The following is a 25,418-nucleotide window of genomic DNA, read 5'->3' as shown; positions in this document are numbered from 1 at the left end:
CACTTCTGTGTGTTCCAGTAGTGCTCTGCTCTATACCTATCATAGTATCTATGACTCTATATGGACATTGCCTTCCTGTCTGTTTTTTTAGTTTATAGCATATGATTGTTGAGAGGTGGACCATGCCATCTTCATCTTGCAATTCCAGTGCTGGTTCTAGTACCTTAGCATGTGGCTGTTGATTACATGAATGAAGAATGAAAAAGCTCTGGTATTTAAACACAATTAGAATTAATGCCATGTGTAATTTATTAAATAGTAATTTTGTATTGTAAATGTACATACATATTTCTCATTCTTATTAAATCTGATAAAGTTCTCAACTCTTTAGTTTTTAAACGCACACTTAGTTAACTGAAGTGTTTTAGGTAAAGAACATAATTCTTTATTTTTCTTTCCAGCTGTTGCTGTGTTGGACACTTGCTCCCATCTACTTTCTTCTCTAGAATCCACTGGTAAGCCATATCTAACAAAGAGAATATTTAACCATAAAGTCTTAAGGAAAAATTGTATGATTTAAAGGATTATAAAACTTTATTACCAGGCTATTTACACGTTTTAATTGTTTCTCACAAAATATATAACATTACAACATTTACTGAAGTAGGATATTTTTGTATCATATGTATGAAGATAATTTATAGGGTATTTTAAATGATGTTTTTTAACCTCCTTAAGTTTTAAGTGGATCTTGCAAATGAAAACCAGTATTATTGAGTTTGACATACTCAAATTGCCCAAATGTCAGCTGTTTAAACAACCACGTCATCGATACTTTAGTAAAGGTTAGTAAAGGTCATCAAAGGCTTATTTGCATTTTACAGTTTTTATTACTTAGGAGACTTAAGGAGTACCTGCCAGGTTTGTCCATACTAATGTTATGATTTTCTTTTTGTAGTTCAACCGTATTTTGTATGGAGATACTTTGAGGCTCTGTAAATATCTGGTAACTCCTCAGAACCCACTAGATTTAGCATTTCATGGATGACTTGTGTTTGAACAATTATTACTTTGATGGTTGCCAGATGATTATTTTCTTATTCTCTTCTTTGTTCTACATGGAGAAATAAAACCAATAAATAAGGGAGAAGGAAAGCTCATGATTCTGATGCTCCAATTCCCCAAGATTAGGCCAGTAGTAGACATTCCAACCTGACTTTATGTCTCTTTGATTTGTCTCCATTACTCTGTCAGCACTTTTTTACTTTCTGGCAGAAGATTTTCTAAGCTCATCTTGTATTTTCTCTGCCCCAGCTCTGGAATGAGTAATTTTTTTTAGAAGCAGAAGTGGAGCCAATGAGGAAGCACAGGTGAGCCCTCCCCAGCGTGTACTCACTGGTCCCCAACAGAAGAACTGCTGCCACATCCACTGAGGTACCAAGAAACTAGCAAAGGGCCTTCTGGCTGTCTGGGGAGAGTCCTCAGGTGGTCCCTGTCTGAGACTCAGAGGTTCTGGATTAGTCTTCCTGTAGCCTTTGTGTTGTGTCTTTAGATCGGGGCTGTATGGGAAGGGCCCTGGGAGACCCAACAGCACAGGGTGTCTCATTTGCCAAATGTCCCTCCCTTCCTCACACTCTGACACTCAGGAATAGGGTAGATGGCGTGTCCAGGCAGTGTCAGGCCACCTCACTGTCTCCTTTGAGATGGGGCCAGAGGGCCTTTGGGGTGAGTGTGGAGCTGGGAACCTGGAGCCTGAGGCCAACTGTCTTTCCCTGTGTCTTGGAGGAAAGACCATGTCTCAAAAAAACCCCCAGGGCCTAACCTCTGGCCACACACGCAGGGAGGGAGGGTCTATGAGCTGAGGGGGACATTGTAATGAGACTTTGAGTCCCGTTGCTCATAGGCCTGGTCAATGGACCATGGTCAGAGATGACTTGGTCACCAGGACCTAGTCATTTGGGACCTGATCAGCAGGGGCCTGGTTAGTGGTGGTCTCCTCAGTAAAGGCCTCATCAGTGGGGACCTGGTGACCTAGTCATTGGAAGCCTGGTCAGTGGGGGGACCTAGTCAGTGGTGGCCTTATTAGTGGGGCCTGATCAGTTGGAACATAAACAATGAAAAACTGGTTGGTGGGGCATATACAGTATACCAGGGTCCTGGTCGATGTGGGGCCTTAGTGGCTTGGATCCTGGTCAGTGAGGGCCTGGTCAGAGGGGGCTCAGTCAGCTGGGGACTCATCCATGGAGAATTGTTCAGTGAGGGGTCGGGTGAGCAGCAACCTGGTAAATTGTGGTCTTGTCAGTGGGAACCCGGTTTTGTCAGTGGGGACCAGCTCAGTGGAAAATTGGTCAGTGGGGTCTGGCCCATGAGGCCTATTAAGTGCGGGCCTGGTTAGGAAGACATGGTCAGTGGGGACTTGATCAGTGGGACCTGGTCAATGGAGGAGTGGTCATTAGGGGCCTCATCACTCATTACTGGGAACCTGGTCAGGGGCGGTTAGTCAGTACGTGGCCTGCTAGCCACTATGTGACCTCAGGCAGGGGGTTTGACTGTGGAGCCTCCTTGCCTCCATCTGCAGGGAGGTGAGTCAGGGAACCCTGGAGGGTGGCTGGTAAGAGAAGGTGAGAAAATGTGTTGAATCCAATATTGCTTGGCAGGCCTACAACTTTACAAATGACCTGTGTTCCACCTAGAGAGGATGCCAGCCCTCTCAGCAATATGCAGTGCCCCTCCTCTGTCTGCATCCCCAGGACCACCATGGGTGGGGAGGGCAGAGATTGGGGAGCACCTATAGAGGCTCTAATGCTCTAAGGTGACAGTGATGAGGACCTGGGGGCACCCATGAGTGGAGAAGCTAGGCCTGTCCAGAGAAGCAAGACAAACACACACATACACACGCGCACGCACACAGGCACACATGCATACACAAACACATTGCATACCCACATGTCAGTTCAGGGGACAGAGGACCCTGACGCTGGGCCCTGTTGACCCAAGCAGGCTCCCGTTGTGGTGGGTTGTGTCACCCCACAGTGTCACTCTTCCTGAGTCCCCATGGCCTCTGTGTTGTGGAGAAGTTAGAGACACACAGCAGTGTCTGTGAGTAGCTCTGCGTGAAGGACCATTTTCTAGATGACAGGCACATCTCAACAAAGCTCACTGATCAGACTCAGGTGAGTGGGACCTGCTCTCCTCTCTTCCTCCTGGCTTGGGGACAGTCACTATCAGGTGTGCGGTTTTGGCCTCTGGGCAGCTACTGAGGGTAATCCCTGAACACTCACCGGGTGCCTGTTCTGTGCTGACAGTCGTCTCATTCATCCTCACAGCAATTCCATTCTGCATCTTTTCTCATCACCCCCGTGACCACCCAGGACAACCCCATCAGGGCCCTGTCACCAGGCCTAGTCCAGCTCCATGATAACCAAGACACAGGTCCAGAGACAACCATCCTGCATCGTGCCTGCATCTGACCCCCCTTGGTGGGTAGTGACCAGCACAACATGGAAGAAGCCAGGGCAGCATGTGGCCAGCTGCTCTGCAGCCCCAGATGGCTCCTGGGCCTTGGAGAGTCATTCTTCAAGGGGAAGCTGGTCACTTTGAGGTCCCTGAAGGGAAGGGTGAACGTGCATCCCAACAGCCCTGGTAGCCAGCAGCATGCCATACATCTTCTGTGGTTTGACTGTGGAGCCTCCTTGCCTCCATCTGCAGGGAGGTGAGTCAGGGAACCCTGGAGGGTGGCTGGTAAGAGAAGGTGAGAAAATGTGTTGAATCCAATATTGCTTGGCAGGCCTACAACTTTACAAATGACCTATGTTCCACCTAGAGAGGATGCCAGCCCTCTCAGCAATATGCAGTGCCCCTCCTCTGTCTGCATCCCCAGGACCACCATGGGTGGGGAGGGCAGAGATTGGGGAGCACCTATAGAGGCTCTGTGTGACAGAGGCCCCCTCCTGGGGCACAAGTCCCATACCTAAAGCATCCTATCCCAGTCGGACCTCATCCTGAGCCCTGGGAGGGGAGGGGCACCATGTGCCCCCCTGCTGCAGCCAGGATTACCACCCAGGGGACTCGGCCTTCTGTGGCCTTGGCCAGACTTAGAATTTGGGCCAAGACAAGCTTACTCGGAGCAACTTCTCAGTACCTGGGGCCTGTGCATGCCAGGCAAGGACAAGATGGCTCAAAGAGCAACCAGCCACCTCTGCAAGGGTGTGCCAGGAGCAGGTGGAGCAGTCACCAACCTCACCCACTCAAGGAAACAGGGATGGCCAGGTTCCCACAGCCTGAGTGACCACCACAAGACAGCTGATGGAGTGGAGACCTGAGGAAAAGCAGATGGCACTGGGGCTCTACCTCCAGGGCAGAATAACTGATTTACCCTGACTGGCAGGGAGTGATGTTGGTGGCTGGTCCATTGGCTCCTGGCACACCCTTGCAGAGGTGGCTCGTTGCTCTTTGAGCCAGCTTGGCTTTGCCTGGGATGCATAGGCCTCAGTGCAACAAATGTGCTGCAAATGGAGCCACATAGAGGAAACAAGCAGAAGGCTCAGGAGCGGAGTGTGTGCCACCTTTGGGGCTCCAGTCCATGCATCGGGGCTTCTACAGCACTGTGGGCTTCTCAGGTGCCAAGAGGCAGACCACAGGCCATCTTGAGGAGGACTCTGGTAAGAGCTTCCTTGGATATGTGGATGATGTCCAGAATTTTGGCCTGGTGTCCCTGAGACAGCACTAACAGGTCCACGACTGGGTGCAGGTTCTGCCTGGGCTGATTGGCAAAGAGCTCACTGACAGTGTGGAAGGAATCTATGGTGAAGTGGACCTATGTTCCAGTGCAGAAAGGGCCCAATCTGGTAGATGAACCACACAGCCAGCTTCTGGGTGCAGGCACAGTGCCACATTTTTTGTCACTTCCTGATGTGCCCCACCAGCACTGAAGAGACAGCCTGGAGACAGGGCAAGAGGAAGGCTGAGAAGGATGAGATGGTGAGTGCCAGATTCTTCCTGGCCCTGAGCCCTCCCTCAGGGTGACACTCAACCTTTAGGAGTGGGAGAGCAAGATTGATGGCTTCAAGTGCTTCACCAAGAAGATGGACAACAGGGCACTCAGCTCAACTTCACAGCCAATGAGTGGTGACAGGCTTTAAGAAAGAGCGTCTTCCAAACTGTCAGTGAGCTCTTTGTCAATCAGTCCAGGCAGGATCTGGACCCAGCCATGGACCTGTTAGTGCTGTCTCAGGGACATCAGACCAACATCTTGGACATCATCCACATACACAAGGAAGCTCTTACCAAAGTCACAGAGAGCAGGCAACATGTGGCAGAAGGGAAGACAGAGATGCAGAGGCTGATGATGTCAGAATCACAGGAACAGGATTTCTTTGGCCGCTTTGGCTGAAATTCACCACTTCCATCCAATTCCAGTGAGAGACATGGACTCACAGATGCAGCATTTCTTGCAACAAGAGATACTACTTTTTCAAAAAGCTACCCAGGAATTGATAGTGTTGAATGACTCGATACTCAATCGTGGACTGTTTCCAGTTCAAGGATACTTTCTACAGCAGAATAATAACACTAGCAAAGAGCTAGTACAAGGATGGTTTTGTGCTCAACTGAAATCCAGCTGAATACAAAATTGTATAGGAAACAGTTAATATGGTGATAGAATAGAAACAGTAGCAAATGTGAATTAAATCATGCTATGAATGCCTAAACTACTGCTGTAACTTTTGGAAAAATGATAATACCACTTTATTGCTTTTTGAAGTATGAATATTTTAGTGTATATGCTCTAGACCTCAAACCCTATAAAGAGTCTCAAAGAAGTTGGCTGGATAAAGCCTGCTGTGGATGTCTTTATATTCAAATATTGATGATGCAATTTGAATATGTGTCTCTACCGAATCTCATGTTGAATTATATTTCCTAATGTGGAAGGTGGATCCTGGTATAAGATGATTGAATTATGAAGGCAAATTTCCCATGAGTGGTTCAGCACCATCCCCTTGTAGCATTCTCACAATAATGAGTGACTTCTCATGAGATCTGGTCACTGAAAACTCTATGTCCCCTCCCTACTCTCCTTGTTTTCCCCTTGCCATGTGAGACAACTGATTCTTTCTTTGCCTTCCATGATTATTGAAAGATTTCTGAGGCCTCCTAGAAGCAGAAGCACTGTGCTTAGAACCATGAGCCAATTAAACCTCTTTTTCAAAGTAAATCATACAGAAAATGGCAAATGGGGACTTAGAATATTGCTATAAAGATACCTGGAAATGTGGAAGCAACTTTGGAACCAGGTAATGGAAGGAGATTGGAAGAGTTTGGAAGGCTCAAAAGAAGACAGATAGATGAGAAAACTTTTGGACCATCTTAGAGTCTGGCTCAATGGCTGTGACAAAAATCCTGACAGAAACATGGACAGTGAAGGCCAGACTGAGGAGGTCTCAGAGAGAAATAAGAAGCTTTCTGGAAAATGTCTTTCTTTTGGATATGGAAAGCTTACACAATGCCTGTACCATCATTGTACCCTAGAAGCAGTGAACTTGCTTTTTATGTCAGAGACTTATAGGCAAAATAGACTGCAGCCTTGACCCAGATGAGACTTTGGACTTTGTAACTTTGAGTTAATCCTGAAATGTGTTAAGACTTTGGGAGACTGCTGCCAAGGCATGATTGTATTTTGCAATGTGAGAAGGACATGAGATTCATGGGGTCAGGGGCAGAATAATATGGTTTTTCTCTATGTCCCTACCAAAACTCATGTGGAATTATATTTTGTAATGTTAGAGGCGGGGCCTAGGTGGAAAAAGATTTAGTCATAAAATGGTGCATGTAGATACTTCACGAATGATAAAGGACCATCACCTTGATGCTATCCTCCTGATAGTGAGTGAGTTCTCATGAGATCTGGTTGTTTAACAGGCTGTGGAACCTCTTCCCTCACTCTGTCTTCCTCCTACTCCTGCTTTAGGAGACATCTCATTGTCCCTTGGTTTTCTGATATAATGAGGAGTCTTCCTGATTCCTCCCAGAAACAGAAGACACAATGCTTCTTTCACAGCTTGCAGAATCATGAGTCAATTACACCTCTTTTATTTACAATAATACAGAAAATTAGAACTGCAGAGAGGAGCTGTGAAATGTCTTCAAGGCCTTTTTCCCTTTGTCTTGGCTATTAGCACAGGGCTTCTTTATATGCAAATTTCTGAAATCTTCTTGAATGTTTCCCCTTAAATGGGATTTTTGTTATTGCTACATAGCCAACCTGCTATACAGATATCTGAAAAAGTAGAAGCAGGCTCAATAGTGGGTAGCAAACAAAGATTGGAAGGGCTTGGAGGGATTAGAGTATGAGAGGGAGTGGGAGGGAGTGATTTAATCATGGATGGGTACGGGTGGATGTGGAAGGGAAAAAGGGGTGGGTAGGGTGGGAGGGATTAGACTGGCTGTACGGTGGTGGGAGGGTGGTGGGTAGTAGGAAGGGGGAGTAGCCTGCTGCAGAGGCAGAGCCTCATGGAAAATCCCTACTAAGGAAGTGCACCTGTGGCTTTGCAGGTCTGAGCCCCCATGGCTTCTTTCATAGACTGGACTAGTGTTGAGTGCCTGTAGCTTTTCCACACGGAGGGTGCAAGCTGTTGGTGGGTTTATGAATCTGGGATCTGGAGGGTGGTTGCCCCCTGCGTGGGGGCTCCAAGTCCATATTTTCTTTCTGCACTGCCCTAGTAGAGGTTTCCCAAGAACTCTTCATCTGCAGCAGGCTTCTGCCTGGAAACAGTGGGAGGTGGGGGTGGGAGTCAGATCCTTCACCAATGGTTAGGCAACGTCTTCTTGATGTTGTCCTCATGACAGTGTGTTCTCATGAGATCTGGTTATATAACAGGGGGTGGCACCTCTTTCCTCTCTCAGTCTTGCTTCTACTCCTGCAATGAGATATTTGAAATATCTCATTGCCCCTTGGCCTTCTGATATGATTGGGAGGCTTCCTGATCTGATCCTCCCAGAAGCAGAAGCCACTATGCTTCCTTTACAGCCTGCTGAATCGTGAGCCAATTAAGCCTCTTTTTTTTATGATCATACAGAAAATTAGTGCTATGAAGTGGAGCCATTAAATGCCTTCAAGGCCCTTTCCCCTTTGTCTTGGCAACCAGCACTCAGCTTCTTTTCATTCAAATATCTGAATCCTTCGTGAATTTTCCCCCTGAAAATGGACTTTTCTGTTTTACCACATTGCCAGGCTGTGATAAAGATAGCTGACAATGTAGAACCAGGTTCAGAAGTGTGTAAAAGACAGAGGTCAGAAGAGTTGGGAAAGCTTGGAAGACAGCAAGATGAGGAAAATATTGGACCACTATAGAGAATTGTTAAATACTTGTGATCAGAAGGCTGACAAAAGGGTAAACACTGAAGTCCAGACTTAAAAGGTCTCAGATGAAAATGAGGAATTTCCTAGGAACAGGAGCCAAGATTACATTTGATTGGCCTTAGCAAAGAAGCTGGCTGCACGGGGACCCTGCCCTGGAGGTCTGTGAAACTATGAACTTGGGGGTGATGATTTAGGATGTATCTGGTGAAATAAACATCTAGGCAGCATAGCACAACAGGTGTCCTGTCTGCATTGAACAGCCTGTGTTCTTATGGGTGACCTAAGAAATGACTTCAAGTTGGAACTTCAAGTGGAGATCTAAAGTTTGGAAAATTTGGAGCCTGGCCAAGTGGTCAAAAAGAAAAGCCAATTTTGAGGGGGAAAATTCAAGAAGGCTTAGGGTATTTGCATAAAAAGGAACCCACTGCAAATAGCCAAGACAATGGGAAACCGGACTTGAAGGTATTTTAGAGATGTCTGCAGCAGCCCTTGTTGTCACAGGCCCTGGGGCCTAGGAGAGAAGAATGGTTTCCTAAGCCAGTCTCATGGCCCTGCTTCTGTACTCAACCTCAGGACACTGCTGCCTGCATCCGTGCAGCTCCAGCACCAGCCATGGCTGAAAGATGTACAGGTACAGCTTGGGTCATTGCTTCAGAGGTGGCTCAAAGTCTTGATGGTTTCCATATAGTGTTAAGCCAGTAGGTGCACAGAGAAAGAGATTAGAGGCTTGGGAGCTCCCGTCTAGACTCCAGAAGATGTATAGAAAATCCTGGATGTTCAGGAAGAAGCTTTTCTAAGAGACAGAGCCTCATGGGGAACCTCTACTAGGGGAGCAAAGAAGGGACCTATAGGGTTGAAGCCCCCACACAGGGAGGCATCATTCTCTAAACCCCAGATTCATAGACCCACAAACAGCTTGCACCCTCAGTGGGGAAAAGCTACGGCCACTCAACAACAGCCCTGTCCATGAGAGACAGCCGCGGAGTCTGAACGCTGCAATGCCACAGGTGTAGATCTGCCCAAGGCCCTGGGAGCTCAGCCCTCACAGCCCTGTGCCATGGATATGGGACAAGGATTCAAAAATGATGATTTTGGAGCTGTAGCATTGAGTGACTGGCCTGCTGGGTTTTGGACATTTATGTATCCTATGAGTCCCATCTGTGTTTTGTGCTTCTTTCTAGCAATTTTTTTTTCTGTTGGCTGGGAATGCTTACCCATTGCCTGTACAATCCTTGTACCTTGGAAGTAGTAAAGTTTCTTTATAATTCAGTGACTCATGGGCAGAAGGGACTGTACACTTGTCTCAGATAAGACTCTGGGCTTTGGGCCTTTGAGTAGATGCTGGAATGGGTTAAGATTTGAGAGACTCTAGGGAAGCCATCATTGCATTTTGCAATGTGAGAAAGACATGAACTTTGGGGGACCAGGGACAAAATAATATGTTTTGGCTCTCTGTCTCTACCAAAGCTCATGCGGAATATTAATAGGAAATGTTAAAGGTGGGGGCTGGTGGAAGGTGATTTAATCATGGTGAAGAGTGGAGTTTGGATGGTTGGGGAGCGGGGAGGGTTGGGGAGGATTGGGGGGCGAGGAGGGTTGGAGGGGATTGGGGGTGGGGAGGGTTGGAGGGGATTGTGGTGGGGTTGGGGGTGAAAGGCAGAGGTGGGGGTGGATCCTTCACAAATGGTTAAACACCATCTCCTTAATGCTGTCCTTCTGATAGTGAGTTCTCTTCATGATTTTGGAGCTGTGAGATTGAATGAACACTGACCTGCTGGATTTTGGATGTCCATTGGGCCTGTGGTCCCATTTATGTTATTTTTCTTGGAAATTTCTTCCCTTTGGATTGAGAAAGCTTACCCAATACCTGTACCATCATTGTACCTTGAAAGAAACAAACACCTTTTTAACTTCAGGGACTCATAGGCAGAAGAGATAGTAGCCTCGTCTCAGATAAGACTTTGAACTTTTTACATGTGAGTTAATGTAGGAATGAGTTAAGGCTTTTGGAAACTTTTGAAAAGACATGAATGTATTTTATTCTGTGAGAAGGATATGAGATTTGGGGGGTCAAGGTCAGCATAATATGATTTGGCTGTGTGCCCCTGGAAAAACTCATGTGGAATTGTAATCCCAAATGTTGGAGGCGGGACCTGGTGGGAGATTATTTAATCATGGATGGGAGGGGTAGGGGTGGAAGAAAAAAGGGGTGGGTAGGGTGGGGAAGAGTAGGCTGTCTGTAGGGTGGTGGGAGGGTGGTGGTTAGTAGGAAGGGGGAGTAGCCTGCTGCAGAGGCAGAGCCTCATGGAAAATCCCTACTAAGGAAGTGCACCTGTGGCTTTGCAGGTCTGAGCCCCCATGGCTTCTTTCATAGACTGGACTAGTGTTGAGTGCCTGTAGCTTTTCCATACTGAGGGTGTGAACTGTTGGTAGGTCTATGAATCTGGGGTTTAGAGGATGGTTGCCTCCTGCATAGTCACTCAAAGCCCTTATTTTCCTTCTGCACTACCATAGTACAGGATTCCCAAGAGCCTCTGCCTCTGCAGCAGGCTTCTGTTTGGAACAGTAGGAGGTGGAACTGTGTTGGGGGGTGGATCCTTCACCAATGGTTAAGCACTATCTTCTTGATGCTGACCTAGTGATAGTGAGTTCTCATGAGATCTGGTTATATAACGATGTGGCACCTCATTCCTCTCTCAGCCTTGCTCCTGCTCCTGCCGTATGAAACATTTCATTGCTGTTTTCCTACTGGTATGATTGGGAGGCTTCCTGAGTCCTTCCAGAAGCAGAAGCCACTGTGCTTTCTTTACAGCCTGCAGAACCATGGGCCAATTAAACCCCTTTTCATTATGATCATACAGAAAATAAAGTACTGTGAAGTGGAGCTATGAAATATCTTCAATGACATTTCCCCATCGTCTTGACTATTAGCACTGGACTTCTTTTTAATGCAAATATCTGAAGCCTTCTTGAAGTTTCCCCCTGAAAATGGACTTCTTTTTCTTCTACATTACCAAGCAGCAACAAAGATAGCTGAAAATGTAAAGCAGGTTCAGAAGTGTGTAAAAGCCAGAGGTTGGAGAGTTTGGAGAGCTTGAAAGAAGACAGGAAGATGAAGAAATTTTGGACCATCGTAGGCACTTGTTAAATAGTTGTGATTAAAAGGCTGGCAGAAGGATGGACAGTGAAGGCCAGGCTTACAAGGTCTCAGATGAAAATGAGGAAATTACTGGGAACAGGAGCCAAGGTTACTTTTGTTTTGCTGTAGCAAAGAACATGGCTGCAGGGTGACCTTGCCCTCGAGATCTGTGAAACTTTTAACTTGAGGGTGACGATTTAGTACATATCTGGTGGAATGAAGTTCTAGGCAGCATAGCACAAGGGGGATCCTGTCTGCATCAAACAGCCTGTGCTCTTGTGTGACCGAGGTTATGTGTGACCGAGGAAATGACCTCAAGTTGGAACTTATATTTAAAAATGACAAGCAGAGCTCAAAAGTTTGGAACATTTGCAGCCTGGCCAAGTGTTCAAAAAGAAAAGCTGATTTTCAGGGGGAAAATTCATGAAGGCTCCAGAAATTTGCATAAAATGGAGGCCAGTGCTAATAGCCAAGACAATGGGGGAAAAAACCTTGGAGGCATTTCAGAGATGTTTGCAGCAGCCCTTGCTGTCACAGTCCCTGGGGCCTAGGAGAGAAGAATGGTTTCCGGGGCCAGCCCCATGGCCCTGCTGCTGAGTGCAGCCTCAGGACGCTGCTGCCTGCATCCCAGCAGCCCCATCTCCTGCTCCGACCTTGGCTGAAAGATGCACAGGTACAGATTGCATCACTGCTTCAGAGGGTAGAAGCTATAAGGCTTCATGGCTTCCACATAGTGTTAAGCCAGCGAGTCCATAGATCACTAGCCCAGAGGCTTCGGAGCCTTCATATAGATTTTGGAAGATGTATGAAAATGTTTGGGTGTCCAGACAGAAGGCTGCCAAAAACCAGAGCCTCTTGGGAAACCTCTACTAGGGCAGTGCAGAAGGAAAATATGGGGTTGGAGCCCCCACACTGGAGGCCACCATCATGCAGACCCCAGATTCATAGACCCACCAAGAGCTTTGTACCCTCTGTGGGTGAAAACTACAGGCACTCAACACCAGCACAGCCCATGAGGGCAGCTGCGGGAACTGAAAACTGCAAAGCCACAGGTGCAGACCTGCCCAAGGCCTTGGGAGCCCAGCCCTCATGCCCTTGTGCCCTGGATGTGGGACAAGGATTAAAAAAGGATGACTTTGGAGCTGTACGTTTTAATAACTGGCCTGCTGGGTTTTGGATTTTCATGGGATCTGTAAGTCCCGTTTGTGTTTCGTTGTTCTCTCTGGCAAAAAATCTTCCTTTAGGGTGGGAATTCTTACTCAATGTCTGGACAATCATACCTTGGAAGTAGTTAACTTGCTTTGTATTTCAGAGGCTCAGGAGCAGAAAGGATGGCATCTTTGTCTCAGACGAGACTTTGGGCTTCAGACATTTAAGTAAATGCTGGAATGAGTTAAGAAGTTGGGGGTTTTAGCCAAGACGATGGGGAAAAGTCATTGAAGGCATTTCATAGTTTCACTTCACAGTACTAATTTTCTGTATGATCATAACAAAAAGGGGTTTAATTGGCTCAAGGTTCTGTAGGCTGTAAAAAAAAAAGCATAGTGGCTTAGGGAATGGTAAGTAAGGCATCACTGTATTTTGCAAAGTGAGAAGGACATGAGATTTGGGGAGGCAGAGACAGAGGAATAAGATTCGGCTGTGTGTCCCTATGGAAACTCATGTGGAATTGTAATCAGAAATGTTAAAAGTGGGGCCAGGTGGAAGGTGATTTAATCATGGAGGACACTGGGTTTTGGAAGGTGGAGATTGGGGAGAATGGGTGGATTATGGTGGGGGTGAGGGATGAAAAGTGGGGGTGGGGGAGGATCCCTCACAAATAGTTAAACACCATCTACTTAATCCTTTCCTCATGATGGTGAGTTCTCGTGACGGTTTTGGAGCCGTGAGATTGAATGGATACTGGCCTCCTGGGTTTTGGACCTGCATTGGCCCTGTGATCCCATTTGTGTTATTTTCCTGGCAAACCTCTACCCTTTGGATTGGGAAAACTTACCCAATGCCTGTACCATCATTGTACCTTGAAAGAAAAGATCTCCCTTTTAAATTCAGGGACATATAGGCAAAAGGGACTGTAGCCTTTTCTCAGATGAGACGTGGAACTTTTTACATTCGAGTTAATGCTGAAATGACTTAAGACTTTCGGCAACTTTTGAAAAGGCATGATTGTATTTTACTCTGTGAGAAGGATATGATATTTGGGGGATCGGGGTCAGAATAGTATGATTTAGCTGCATGTCCCTACCTAAACTCACATGTAATTGTAATCCTGAATGTTGCAGGTGGGGCCTGGTGGGAGGTGACTTATTCATGGATGGGAGAGGGGTGGGGTTGGAAGTAAAAACAGGTGGGTAATGTGGGGAGGAGTAGGCTGGCTGTAGGGTGGTGTGTAGCAGGAGGGGAGTAGCCTGCCACAGAGGCAGAGGCTCATGGAAAACCTCTACTAAGGCAGAGCACCTGTGGCTTTGCAGGGTTTAGCACCTGCAGCTGCACTCATGGGCTGGGCTGGTATTCCATACTGGGGGTGTGAGCTGTTGGTGGGTCCATGACTCTTGGGGCTGGAGGATGGTGGCGTGGGGGCTCCAAGCCCATATTTTCCTTCTGCACTGCCCTAGTAGAGGTTTTCCAAGAGGATCTGTCTCTGCCGCAGGCTTTTGCTTGGAAACAGTTGGTGGTGGATATGGGGTGGTGGGCGGATCCTTCACCATCAGTTAAGCACCATCTTAATGCTGATCTCCTGATAGTGAGCTCTCATGAGATCTAGTTGTATAACAGGATATCACACCTCTTTCCTCTCTCTGTCTTGCTTCTACTCCTGCCATATGAAACATTTCATTGCCGCTTGGCCTTCTGGTATAATTGGGAGGCTTCCTGAGTCCTCCTACAAGCAGAAACCACTATGCTTTCTTTACAGCCTGAAGAACTGTGAGTCAATTAGACCTCTTTTCTTTATGTAGATACAGAAAATTAATGCTGTGAAGTGAAGTTATGAAATGACTTCTAGGAGTTTCCCCCATTCTCTTGGCTATTAGCACTGAGCTTTTTTCAATGCAAATATTGGAGGCCATCTTGATGTTTCCCCCTGATAATGGACTTTTCTTCTTTTACCACATTGCCAGGCTGCAACAAAGATAGCTGACAGTGTAGAAGCAGGTTCCAAATTGGGTAGTGGCGAGAGGTTAGAGAGTTTGGAGAGCTTGGAAGAAGACAGGAAGATGAGGGAAAGTTTGGACCATTGCAGAGACTTGTTAAATAGTTGTGAGTAAAAGGCTGACAGAAGGATGGACAGTGAAGATAGCCTTGTAAGGTCTCAGATGAAAATGAGGAACTTACTGGGAAAAGGAGCTAAGGTTTTTTTTTTTTTTTGACTTAGCAAAGTAATTGGCTACACAGTGACCCTTCCCGGGAGATCTGTGAAACTGAACTCGAGGGTGATGATTTAGGGTGTATCTGGTGGAATGAACTTCTAAGCAGCAAAGCTCAAGAGTTGTCTGGCCTACATCGAACAGCCTGTGCTCCTATGTGTGATGAAAGAAATGACCATAAGTTGGAACTTATATTTAAATGAGAAGCAGAGCTTTAACATTTGGAAAATTTGTAATCTGGACAAGTGGTCAAAAAGAAAAGCTGATTTTCAGGGGGAAAATCAAGAAGGCTTCGGATATTTGCATAAAAAGGAGCCCAATGCTAATAATTCAAGACAATGGGAAAAAGGCCTTGAAGGCATTTCAGAGACCTTTGTAGCAGCCCTTGCTGTCACTGGCCCTGGGGTTTAGGAGAAAAGAATATTTTCCTGGCCCAGCCTCATGGCTCCACTGCTGTGTGCAGCCTCAGGACACTGCTGCCTCCATCCCTGCAGCTCCTTTTCCAGCTCCAGCCATGGATGAAAGATGTACAGGTACAGCTTGCATCACTGCTTCAGAGGATGCAAGCTCCAAGCCTTGGTGGCTTCTACGTAGTGTTAAGCCAGCAGGTACATAAAGCACAGGACTAGAAGCTTCAGAGCCTTTGTCTGGACTCCAGAGGATATATCAGAAAGCCTGAGTGTCTAGCCAGAAGCTTTTCCAAGAGTCAGAGCCTCATGGTAAACCTCTACTCAGGCAGTACACAAGGAAAGTATAGGGTTGGAGTCCCCATACAGGGAGGCACCATTTTCCAGACCTCAGTTTCATAGACCCACCAGCTGCTTGCCCCCTTAGTGTTGAAAAGCTACAGGCACTCAACGCCAGCCTAGCCAATGAGGTCAGCTGTAGGGGGAAGATTTTGCAATGCCACATGTGCAGAGCTGCCCAAGGCCTTGGGATTCCAGCCATCACACCAACCTGTGCTCTGGATGTGGACATAGATTCCAAAAAGATGACTTGGAGCTGTATGATGGAATGACTGGCCTGCTGGGTTTTTGACTTGCAGGGGGTTTTTAAGTCTCATCTGTGTTTTGTGCTTCTTTCTGGCAAATTTCTTCTTTTTGGCTTGGAATGCTTACCCAATGCCTGTACAATCATTGTACCTTGGAAGTGGTTAACTTGCTTTGTATTTCAGAGGCTCAGGGCAGAAGGTATGGCAGCCTTGTCCCAGAAGAGACTTCGGGCTTTGGACATTTGAGTAAATGCTGGGATGAGTTAAGATTTGGGGGACTCTAGGGAAGGCATCATTGCGTTTTGTAATGTGAGAAAGACATGAACCTTGGGGGACCAGGGACAGAATAATATGTTTTGGCTCTGTGTCTCTACCAAAACTCATGTGGAATTTTAATGGGAAATGTTAAAGGTAGGGGCTGGTGGAAGGTGATTTAATCATGGTGGAGAGTGGAGGTGGGATGGTTGGTGGGGTGGGGAGTGTGGGGGGGATTAGGGGGTGAGGAGGGTTGGGGGCATTGTGGTGGGGTTAGGGGTGAAAGGCAGGGGTGGGGGGTGGATCCTTCACAAATGGACATTTGAGTAAATGCTGGAATGAGTTCAGACACTGGGGGACTGTAGAGAATGCATCATTGTATTTTGCAGTATGAGAAGGTTGTGAGATTGGGGGTCCAAAGGGAGAATAATATGATTTGGCTCTGTGTCCCTACCAAAACTCATGTGGAATTATAATTGGGAATGTTAAATGTGGGGCTTGGTAGAAGGTGATTTAATCATAGTAGAGAATGGGGGTTGGAAGGGGGATGTGGGGGAATGGACATTCATGGTGTGAGTGAGGGTGAAACATGGGGATGGGTGGCAGATCCTTCACAAATGGTTAAATACTGTCTCCTTAATGCAGTCTGTGTGATAGTGAGTTCTCATGATAAATGAATGCTGTCCTGCTGGGTTTTGGAGTCGGATTGGGCCTGTGTCCCATTTGTGTTATTTTTCTGGGAAAATCTTCCCTTTGGTTTGAGAAAGCTTACCCATTGCCTGTGCCATCGTTTTAACTTGAAAGAAAAGAATTGTCTTTTACATTCAGGGACTCATAGGCAGAAAAGATTGGTCTTGTTTTGGATGAGACTTGAATTTACTACATTTGAGTTACTGCTGGAATGAGTTAAGACTTTTTGAAACTGTTGAAAAGACGTGTTTGTATTTTTCTGTGTGAGAAGGACATGAGATGTGGGGGTGTCAGGGTCAGGATAATAAGGTTTGGCTGTGTTTCTCTACAAAAACTCATGGGGAATTGCATTCCTGACTGTTGTAGGTGGGACCTGGTGGGAGGTGATTTAATCACAAACGGGAGGTTGGTAGGGGTGGAAGGGAAAACAAATGGGTAAGATGGGGAGGATTAGGCTGGCAGTAGGGTGGTGAGAGGGTGGTGGGCAGTAGGAAGGGGGAGTAGCCTGCTGCAGTGTCAGAGCCTCATGGAAAACCTCTACCAGGGCAGTGCACCTGTGGCTTTGCAGGGTGTAGCCCCAATGGCTGCCCTCATAGGCTGGGCTGGTGTTCAGTGCCTGTAGCTTTTCCATACTGAGAGTGCAAGTTTTTGGTGGGTCTATGAATCTGGGGTCTGAGGATGGTAACCTCCTGCATGGGGCCTCCAAGCCCATCTATTTTTTCTGATCTGCCCTAGTAGAGGTTTTCCTAGTGGCTCTGCCTCTGCCTTAGGCTTCTGCCTGGAAACAGTGAGAGGTGTGGGTGGTAGGGGGCAGAACTTTCACCAATGGTTCAGCAACATCTTGATACTGACCTTGTGATAGTGAGTTCTCAGGAAATCTGGTTGTATAACAGGGTTATACAATGTGTGGCACCTTTTTCCTCTCTCTGTTTTGTTTCTATGTCTCCCATATAAAACATCCCATTGCTGCTTGGTCTTCTGGTATGATTGGGAGGCTTCCTGAATCCTTCCAGAAGCAGAAGCCTCTATGATTTATTTAAAGCTTGCAGAACCATCAGCCAGTTTAATCTCTCTTCTTTCTGATTATACAGCAAATTAATGCTATAAAGTGGAGCTATGAAATGCCTTCAAGGCCTTTTCCCTATAGTCTTGGCAATCAGCACTCAGCTTCTTTTCAGGCAAATATGTGAAGCCTGCATTAATTTTTCTCCTGAAATGGACTTTTCTTCTTTTACCACATTGCCAGGCTGTGACAAACATAGCTGAAAATGTAGAAGCAGGTTGAGAAGTGTGTAATGGCCAGAGGTTGGAGAGTTTGGAGGTCTTGGAAGAAGACAGGAAGATGAGGAAAAGTTTGGTTCAGTGTAGAGACTTGTTAAATAGTTATAATTAAAAAGGTGACAGAAGGATGGACAGTGATCACCAGGCTTAGAAGGTCTCACATGAAAATGAGGAGCTTGCTGGGAACAGGAACAAAGGTCACTTTTGTTTTTTCCTTAGCAAAGAACGTTGCTGCACTATGCCCCTAATGTGGAGACCTGTGAAATTTTGAACATCAGGGTGATAATTTAGAGTGTATTTGGTGGAATGAAATTTTAGGCAGCAAAGCTTAAGAGGTGTCCTGTCTGTGTCGAACAGCCTGTGGTCCTATATGTGACCAAAGAAATGACCTCAAGGTGAAACTTATATTTAAATGAGGAGAGCTTAAAAGTTTGAAAAATTTGCAGCCTGGCCAAGTGGTCAAAAAGAAAAGCTGATTATCAGTGGGAAAATTCAAAAAGTCTTCAGAAATGTGCATAAAATGGAGTTCAGTGCTAATAGCCAATACAATGTTAAAAAGGCCTTGAAGGCATTTCAAAGACTTTTGCAGCAGCCCTTGCTATCACAGGCCCTGAGACCTGAGAGAAAAGAATGGTTTCCTTTTCCAGCCCCATGTCCCCGCTGCTATGTCCATCCTCAGGACACTGCTGGCTGCATTTCTGAAGCTCCAGCTCCAGCCATGGCTGAAAGATGCACAGGTAGAGCTTGGGTCACTGCTTCAGAGGGTGCAAGCTGCAAGCCTTGGTGGCTTCCACATAGTGTTAAGCCAGCAGGTGCACAGAGCACAAAACTAGAGGCTAGGGATCCTTTGTCTGGACTCCAGAGTATGTATGGAAAAACCTGGGTGTCCAGGTCGAAACTTTTCCAAGAGGCAGAGCCTCCTTTACTAGGGCAGTACAGAAGGAACATATAGGGTTCGAACCCCATACAGGGAGGCACCATTCTGCCAATGCCAGATTCATAGACTCACTAGCAGCTTGCACCTTGATTGTGGAAAAGCTGTAGCTACTCAACACCAGCCCAGCCCATGAGGGCAACTGTGGAGGTTAGACCCTGCAAAGTCACAGGTGCAGACCTGCCCAAGGCCTTGGGAGCCCAGGCCTCATAGCCTTGAGCTCTGGATGTGGGATCTGGATTCAAAAAAAATGATTTGGAGCTGTAGAATTCAATGACTGGCCTGTTGGGTTTTTGACTTGTATGGGGTCTGTAAGTCCCAACTGTGTTTTGTGCTTCTTTCTGACAAATTTCTTCCTTTTGGCTGGGAATACTTACCCAATGCATGTACAATCATTGTACTTTGGAAGTACTTGCTTTGTATTTCAGAGGCTCAGGGGTAGAACATATGGCAGCCTTGTCTCAGAAGAGACTTTGGGCTTTGGGCATTTCAGTAAATGCTGGAATGAGTTAAGAGATTGGGAAACTGTAGAGAAAGCATCATTGTACTTTGCAGTGTGAGAACAACATGAGATATGGGGACCAGGGTCAGAATAATATGATTTGGCTCTGCATCCCTACCAAACTCATGTGGAATTGTAATGGGGAATGTTAAAGCTGGGGCCTGGTGGGAGGTGATTTAATCATGGAGAAGAATGGGTGTTGGAGGTAGGGGAGTGGGGAGAATGGGGGAGATTATTTTGTGGGTGGGAGTGAAAGATGAGGGTGGGGGGGCAGATCCTTCACAAATGGTTAAGCATACTCTCCTTAATGCTGTTCACATGACAGTGAGTTCTCTTGATGATTTTGGAGCTGTGAGATTGAGTGAATACTGTCCTGCTGGGTTTTGGACTTGCATTGGGCCTGTGGGCCCATTTGTGTTATTTTTCTGGGAAATTTCTTCCCTTTGGACTGAGAAATCTTACCCAATGCCTCTACCATCATTGTACCTTGAAAGAAAAGAACTCCATTTTAAATTCAGGGACTCATAGGCAGAAGGGACTGTGGCCTTATCTCAGATGAGACTTTGAATTTTTAAAATTTGGAATGAGTTAAGACTTTTTCAAACTTTTGAAAAGTCATGATTGTATTTTGCTCTGTGATAAGGACATGAGATTCTGGAATATCAGGGTCAGAATTATATGGTTTGCCTGTGTGTCCCTATGAAACTCATGTGGAATTGTAATCTCTAATGTTGAAGCAGGTGACTTAATTATGGACAGGAGGTTGGTGGTGGTGGAAGGTAAAAGGGATCGGTAGGATGGGGAGGAGTGGGTTGGCAGTAGGGTGGTGGGAGGGTGGGGGGAAGTAGGAAGGGGGAGTAGACTGCTGCAGAGGCAAAGCCTCACGGAAAACCTCCACTAGGGAAGTGCACCTGTGGCTTTGCAAGTTTTAGCCCCACAGCTGTTCTCGTGGGCTGGGCTGGTATTGAGGGCCTGTAGCTTTTCCACACCAAGGGTGTGAGTTGTTGGTGGGCCTATGAATCTGGGATCTGGAGGTTGGTGACAACCTGTGTGGGGGCTCTAAGCCCATATTTTCTTTCTGCACTTCCATAATAGAGGTTTTCAAGAGGCTCTGCATCTGAAGGAGGCTTCTGCCTGGAAACAGTGGGAGTTGGGTGTGTGGGTCAGATCCTTCACCAATGTTTAAGCACCATCTTCTTGATGCTGACCTTGTGATAGTGAGTTCTCATGAGATCTGCTTGTATAATGGGTATGACAACTTTTTCCTTTCTCTGTCTTGCTCCTACTCTTGCCATATGAGACATCTCCTTGCCCTTTGACATTCTGGTATGATTGGGAGGCTTCCTGAGTCCTGTCAGATGCAGAAGCCACTATGCTTCCTTACAGTCTGCAGAATCATTAACCAATTAAACCTGTTTTCTTTATGATCATGGAGAAAATTATGACTGCAAAGTGGATCTATTAAGTGTCTTCAAGGCCTTCTCCCTAATGTCTTGGCAATCAGCACTCAGCTTCTTTTCACTCAAGTATCTGAAGCCTCCTTGAATTTTTCCCCAGAAAATGGGCTTGTCTTCCTTTACCACATTGCCAGCCTGCGACAAAGATAGCTGATAATATAGAAGCAGGTTCAGAAGGGGGTAGCAGATGGAGTTTGGGAGAGTTTGGAGGACTTCGAAGACAGGGAGATGAGGGAAAGTTTGGATCTTTGTAAAGAATTGTTAAATACTTGTGATCAGAAGGCTCATAGGAAAATAGACAGTAAGGATCAGATTAAGAAGCTCTCAGATGAAAAGGAGGGACTTACTGCAAACAGGAGCCAAGGTTACTTTTGTTTTGCTGCAGCAAAGAACGTGGCTGCACAGTGACCCTGCCCTGGAGATCTGTGAAACTTTGAATTTGAGGGTGACGGCTTACTGAGTATCTGATGGAATGAACTTCTGGGCAGCAAAGCTGAAGGGGTGTCCTGTCTGTATCAAACAGCCTGTGCCCTTATGTGTGACTGAGGAAATGACATCTGGATGGGTCTTACATTAAATCAGTCCCAACTCTAATATTAAATGAGAAACAGAACTCAAAAATTTGCAGCCTGACCAAATGGTCAAAAAGAAAAGCTGATTTTCAGGATAAAACTGAGGAAGGCTTCAGAAATTTGCATGAAAAGGAGCCCAGTGCTAATAGCCAAGACAATAGGGAAAAGGCCTTGAAGCCATTTCAGAAAACTTTGCAGCAGCCCTTGCTATCATAGGCCCTGGGGCCTCGGAGAGAAGAATGGTTTCCTGGGCCAGTTCCATGACCCCCCTCTATGTGCAGCCTCAGGACACTGCTGCCTGCATCCCTGCAGCTCTAGTTCCAGCCATGGCTGAAAGATGCACAGGTACAGCTTGCATCACTGCTTCAGGGGTGCAAGCTTCAAGCCTTGGTGGCTTCCACACAGTGTTAAGCCAGCAGCTGCGCAGAGGACAAAACTAGAGGCTTGGGAGCCTTTGTCTAGACTCCAGAGTATGTAAGGAAAAACCTGGGTGTTCAGGCAGAATCTTTTCCAAGAGGCAGAGCCTCATGGGAAACCTTTACTAGGGCAGTACAGAAGAAGAATATAGGGCTGGAGTCCCTAAATATGGAGGCACCATTATCCAGACCCCAGATTCATAGACGCACCAACAGCTGGCATCCTTAGTGTGGAAAAGCTACAGGCACTCAACACCAGCCCAGCCCATGAGGACAGCTGTGGGGGATAGACCCTGCACAGCCACAGGCACAGAGCTGCCCAAGGCCTTGGGAACCCAGGCATCACAAACCTGTGCTCTAGATGTGAGATGTAGATTCAGAAAGGATGATTTGGAGCTGTAGGATTCAATGACTGGCCTGCTGGGTTTTTGACTTGCATGGGGTCTGTAAGTCCTTGTACATTTCAGTAAATGCTGGAATGAGTTAAGTCATTGGGGGGAAGTAGAGAAGTCATCATTGTATTTTGCAGTGTGACAAGGATACAAGATTTGGGGAGCAAGAGCCAGAATAATATGATTTGATTCTGTGTCCCTACCAATACTCATGTGGAATTGTAGTGGGGAATGTTAAAGGTGGGACCTGGTGGGAGGTGATTTGATCATGGAGAAGAGTGGGTGTTGGAGGTAGGGGTGTGGGGAGAATGGGAGAGATTATTTTGTGGGTGGGAGTGAAAGATGAGGGTGGGGGAGCAGATTCTTCACAAATGGGTAAACACTATCTCCTTAATGCTGTCCGCATGACAGTGCGTTCTTTTGATGACTTTGGAGCTGTGAGATTGAGTGAATACTGTCCTGCTGGGTTTTGGACTTGCATTTGTGTTATTTTTCTGGGGAATTTCTTCCATTTGGATTGAGAAACCTTACCCAATGCCTGTTGTACCTTGAAGGAAAAGAAATCCCTTTTAAATTCAGGGACTCATTGGCAGAAGGGACTGTAACCTTGTCTCAGATGAGACTTGGAAATTTTTACATTTGGAATGAGTTAAGACTTTTGGAAACTTTTGAAAAAGCATGATTTTGTTTTGCTCTGTGAGAAGGACATGAGGTTCTGGGGTATCAGGGTCAGAATAATATGGGTTGGCTGTGTGTCCCTATATAACTCACGTGTCATCCTTAATGTTGGAGGTGGGCCAGGTGGGAGGTGTTTTAATCTTGGATGAGAGGGGGTTGGGGTGGAAGGAAAAGGGGTGGTAGTGTGGGGAGGAGTAGGTTGTCAGTAGGGTGGTGGGAGGGTGGGAGTAACCTGCTGCAGAGGCAGAGGCTCATGGGAAACCTCTACTAGGACAGTGCACCTGTGGCTTTGCAGGGTGTAGCCCCCATGGCTGCTGTCATGGGCTGGGTTGGTGTTGAGTGCCTGTAGCTTTTCCATACTGAGGGTGTGAGCTGTTGGTGGGCTTACAAATCTGGAGTCTGGAGGATGGTGGCCTCCTGTGTGGGGGCTCAAAGCCTATATTTTCCTTCTGCACTGCCATAGTGGAAGTTTCCTAAGAGGTTCTGCCTCTGCAGGAGGCTTCTGCCTGGAAGCAGTGGGCGGTGGTGTGGGTGGAGAATCCTTCACCATTGGTTAGTCTTCTTGATGCTGATCTCCTGGGAGTGAGTTCTGATGTGATTTGGTTGTCTAACAGGATGTCACACCTCTTTCCTTTCTCTGTCTTGCTCCTACTCCTGCCATATGAAACATCTCTTTGCTGCTTGGCCTTCTGATATGGTTAGGAGGGGCCTGATCAGTGTGGGCCTGCTCAGTGGACCTAGTCAATCGGGACTTGGTCGTAAGGCCTATTTAGTGGGGGGTGGTCAGCAGGGGTCTGCTTAGAGAGGGTCTCATTAGAGGGATCTAGTAGTGCAGGTCTTGGTGAGTGGGTTCCTAGTGGCAGACAAATGTTTGGTGTCTGGTCAATGCCAACCTGTGCTGTGGGACTTGGTCAGTGGAGACCTTGTCAGCTGGGGCTTAGTGATGGCCTTGTCAGATTGGGCTGGGTTACTGGTGACCAGGTCAAGGGGTGCTATTCAGTGGAGGCCTGGTCACATGGGACCTAGTCAGCAGAGGCGCTTGTCAGTGGGGCCCTGGTCAGGGCAGGCTGGTCCGTGGAAACCTAATCAGTGGGGGCCTGGTCAGAGAGGACTTGATCAGTGGTGGCTTTTGTAGCACTGGTCTACGGGGTGACCTGGTCAGCAGGGATCTGAGCAGTGCATACCTGTTCAGTGGGGCATACTCATTAGGGTCCTGGTCAGGGGCATCTGGTCACCTCAGGCCTGGTTAGCAGGGGCCTGGTCACTGGCATCATATTCCCTGCAGGCCTAGTCAGTAGGGCTTCATCTGTGGGACCAGGCAATGGGGTCATGATCGGTGGAACCTGATCAGTGAGGCCTTGTCAGTAAGGACCTGGTCAGTGAGGCCTTGCCAGTGAGGCCTTGTCAGTAAGATCCTCGTCTGTGGAGTCCTGGTCATTGTGGGCCTGGCAGCGGGAATCTAGTTAGTGAGGCCTGGTGAAGGGGGTCTAATCAGTGAGGGTGTGGTCAGGGAGGATCTGATATGCTGAATCTGCTCAGCAGGGACCTGGTCAGTGGGGGCTGCTGAGCACTACTGGGAAATGTCAGGGGAAATGCATGTTATCAAGGAGCCTGTGGACAGTTGGGGTGGCCCAGTGGTGTTCAATGGCCCAGTCAAAAGTGGACAAAGCAGGTGTCTGGATGGACCTGGGAGATCTTGCTCAGAGATTCTGATGGGACAAAGGTAAAGGAAGGGCCAGAGTGGTCAGAGAGAGGGTCACAGTCTATGGTCTGCACAGGATGGAGGAGGCCAGGGAACAGGCAGGGTGGGCAGCTGGGTTTCAGGGAGAGGCAGGTGCATGCTGGGAGGTCAGACCCTGTGAGGGCTGTGGGGGCATCAGGTGGGGTGGGCTCCAGGTGCACGCTCAGTGCACTGGGCAGGTCTTGGCCCAGGCTCTCTGGACCCCGGCTGGGTGATGTGGTCACTTACTGGGGGACTGTTGTCAGGCGCTGGCCACCCACCCTGGGTAGCACTGTCCCACCTCACGACTGGACTTCCTCAGATCCTGCAGAGGGCACAGCCTCCAGCCCAGGATAGGCAGCCCCTTGGTGGAGCCTGAGCTCTCCATGGGCCTGGAGCATCACCTGCCAGCCCTGCACTCTCTCTTCTCCCAGGTCCTGCTTTTCCAGGGTCAGCCAGTGGGGAGGACCCATCCTCCCTTCCCTATGTGTCTCCTGAGCTGAAACTTGCAGTGCACTGGGACAGGGATGAGGCTTCCCTAAGGCCCATTTAGGGAGAAGACTGGCTCCCAGCCTGGCACAGGTCCTCAGCTCTGCCTTGGTTGCCTTAGAATGAGATGGATCAGTCAGTGCCCTGAAGGTAAAGGTAGGAGACTGTCCCTGCTTTTGGGAGGCTGGTCTAGGGATGGAGGACTTAACAGGTCCTCCCAGTCTGTCAGGTCTGG

The 25,418-nt window shown here is 47.4% G+C and overlaps 1 pseudogene across 1 annotated transcript in view; it reads left to right on the top strand.

The window, feature by feature from the left end:
• LOC112268265 (ankyrin repeat domain-containing protein 26-like) overlaps positions 1-25,418 on the top strand; it is a 54,588-nt pseudogene that overhangs the window by 8,205 nt on the left and 20,965 nt on the right. The window contains exons 4-5 of the transcript XR_007067756.1: positions 402-455; positions 1,283-1,374. The product of XR_007067756.1 is annotated as an ankyrin repeat domain-containing protein 26-like (transcript). The remainder of the gene's footprint in view (positions 1-401; positions 456-1,282; positions 1,375-25,418) is intronic.

This window comes from Homo sapiens, chromosome 20 (assembly GCF_000001405.40).
Source record: "Homo sapiens chromosome 20, GRCh38.p14 Primary Assembly".
Lineage (NCBI taxonomy): Eukaryota > Metazoa > Chordata > Mammalia > Primates > Hominidae > Homo > Homo sapiens.
The sequence above is the reverse complement of the archived record's forward strand: the minus strand, read 5'-3'. Positions and strand labels throughout refer to the sequence as shown.